The sequence below is a fragment of the Homo sapiens genome, chromosome X, assembly GCF_000001405.40.
Source record: "Homo sapiens chromosome X, GRCh38.p14 Primary Assembly".
In the NCBI taxonomy this organism is placed as follows: domain Eukaryota; kingdom Metazoa; phylum Chordata; class Mammalia; order Primates; family Hominidae; genus Homo; species Homo sapiens.
In genome coordinates this window covers 113616098-113618363 of record NC_000023.11, presented here as the reverse complement: position 1 = coordinate 113618363, position 2266 = coordinate 113616098, and the positions used below count along the sequence as shown (strand labels likewise).

Genomic DNA, 2266 nt, shown 5'->3' with positions numbered 1-2266 from the left:
GAACCTAAGTTCTTTCGATTTCAGAAAAAATCATCAATTTGTTTATATTTTATTAGGTCATAATTTTCACAATATAGTATGTAAAATTATTTATAAACACTTTAAATATGGCAATGTCAGTAGCTCATCCATTTCAATCATTAGCGTTTTTTTAACTGTAGAAATTGACATTATTTAAATCCTTACTGTTTTCTCTCCTTTCTTTCTCAGTGTCAAAGCACTTCAATTAAAACACAGAAACTATAGAAAATCATCTGGTAAACATGCTGATGATGTCCTAAACCTGATCACTTGTCTCAAAATTTAGTACGTGTAAGTTTAAACCCATAATTACAGTTTTATTTAAAGTAGCATCACATAGAAAATTAGAAAAACATTCAGGTATTGAACCTATCAAGTGAGTTCTTATTTTAGGAATTTGCTATATAGTTACTTTTCAAAAATTTGTGGAGGAATTGACCAATTTTAGACTAATGTTTCTACTATTGGAAACAGAACTGTGATGCCTTCACCTCTTTAGCTGAATTTAACAATTAGATAACGGCCTAGTGGTGATGTCTCACCCCACTTTGTTGATAAAAAAGAAATGTTATCTTTGTAACTTCTGTAGTTGAATCAAACATAAAAAGCACAATGCTCAGGCTGAAATAGCTGTTTCTTATTTCTTTGATTCCCCCAACCCAACTTTCCCTCTCAGTAAACTGGCGGTCCCACATGGCACTTCTTCTCTTCTTCCAAAAATCCAACAATTGTGTTCATCAGTTGTTGCCTAATAATCAAGCCAGTATGTGAAAGTGAACCATCATAGGAATATATTTATTCCATCTCCAGAAACACAAAGCAAGATCTGATTAGAAATTTGTTTTAAACAGTGATTTGTTTTACTCATTGAAGTCCCCCTCCCTCTGTCTCTTAATGGGGGAGCTTTTTCCTTCTTTCTTGCCTATTAAACTCTCCGCTTGTTAAAACCACTCCACGTGTGTCTGTGTCGTTTTATCTTTTTTGTTTGTTCGTTTGTTTGAGGCAGAGTCTCGCTCTGTCACCCAGGCTGGAGTGCGGTAGCACAATCTCCGCTCACTGCAAGCTCCGCCTCCCAGGTTCACGCCATTCTCCTGCCTCAGCCTCCCGAGTAGCTGGGACTACAGACACCCGCCACCACGCCCGGCTAATTTTTTGTATTTTTAGTAGAGACGGGGTTTCATCGTGTTAGCCAGGATGGTCTCGTTTTATCTTAGTCGGTGCAAAACCAAGGACCCTGGCGTTCCGCCAGTCATCAAAGCCGTATCATCGTGAATTTTTACTCCATCAGCCAATGAAAACAAGGTCAAATGTAGTTGTTGTGTGTGTGTGTGTTCACTTTAATTTTGGTTTTAGAAAGATAACTTGGAGTCAAATTGCTATTAGCTTTCAATTTCTATTGATTTTGAATCTTGTTGACAGGGTCTATTATTTGTCAACTCAATATGCATTATTACTCTTTGCTTAGTGTCTTAACTATTGTTTTAATTGGGATTCCAATGCACTCAGCAAAAAAGATTTCATTTCCCAGGTTCTCTTACAGTTAGGTGTGGTATTAAGACTAAGATGTATGTAGAAGTTATAGGATGAAAGTATTTTGAAAGTTTCTAAAAGATGGGCAGATGCATGCCCTTGTTTTCCCTTAACCTCCTGTCTTCTTTCTCCTGACAGGAAAGTTAATGGCTGAAGATTCAGCAGCCATTCTGAACTGGAAATTACATGTTAAGGCTGTTATAGAAGAAATAAAGAAATTAAATCTCTATGTCCCCAAGGTATCTCTATACCGGCCTGGAATGCCTATCTCCAAACCTCCTTTACATGAGACAGAAACAGCTTCTATCACCTTAAAATCTGTTACTTTAGGTTTTTTTCATTATGAGCAGCTAAAATGAATCTTACTTGATACAGTGTGAGTGTTCATGGATTAGGGCATTGTTTGATAAGAGGAGTAAGAAAAGAATATAAATTGTATTGGCCCTGATATGCCACAAACAATGAGGGCTGAAGCCAAATTAATCAAAGAATAAACTCAAATACAAAGAACAACGTCTTTTTGTTGGTTTCAGCTCTAACAAGTAAATAATCTAGAAGTAATCAGTACTCTTCTTACAATAAGAAAAAAGTTGAACAAACTGAAAATGAATGACTTTTCTTCAACCCAGAAGAGAAGTAAAATCACAGAGCAAACTGCCCTTTTGAAATCTGGAAAGACTAGCAAATTCATTGAGTCCCAGCTGTAATTTCCTTG

General features: G+C 36.3%; 1 long non-coding RNA gene across 1 annotated transcript; it reads left to right on the top strand.

Moving 5' to 3' along the window:
• Positions 1 to 210: 210 nt before the first annotated feature.
• Positions 211 to 2064, top strand: XACT (X active specific transcript; the record flags this gene model as incomplete). The annotated part of the gene is given in 2 exon segments (NR_131204.1): positions 211 to 306; positions 1690 to 2064. It is a non-coding gene; the product is annotated as a X active specific transcript (long non-coding RNA).
• Between the last annotated feature and the right edge of the window lie 202 nt (positions 2065 to 2266).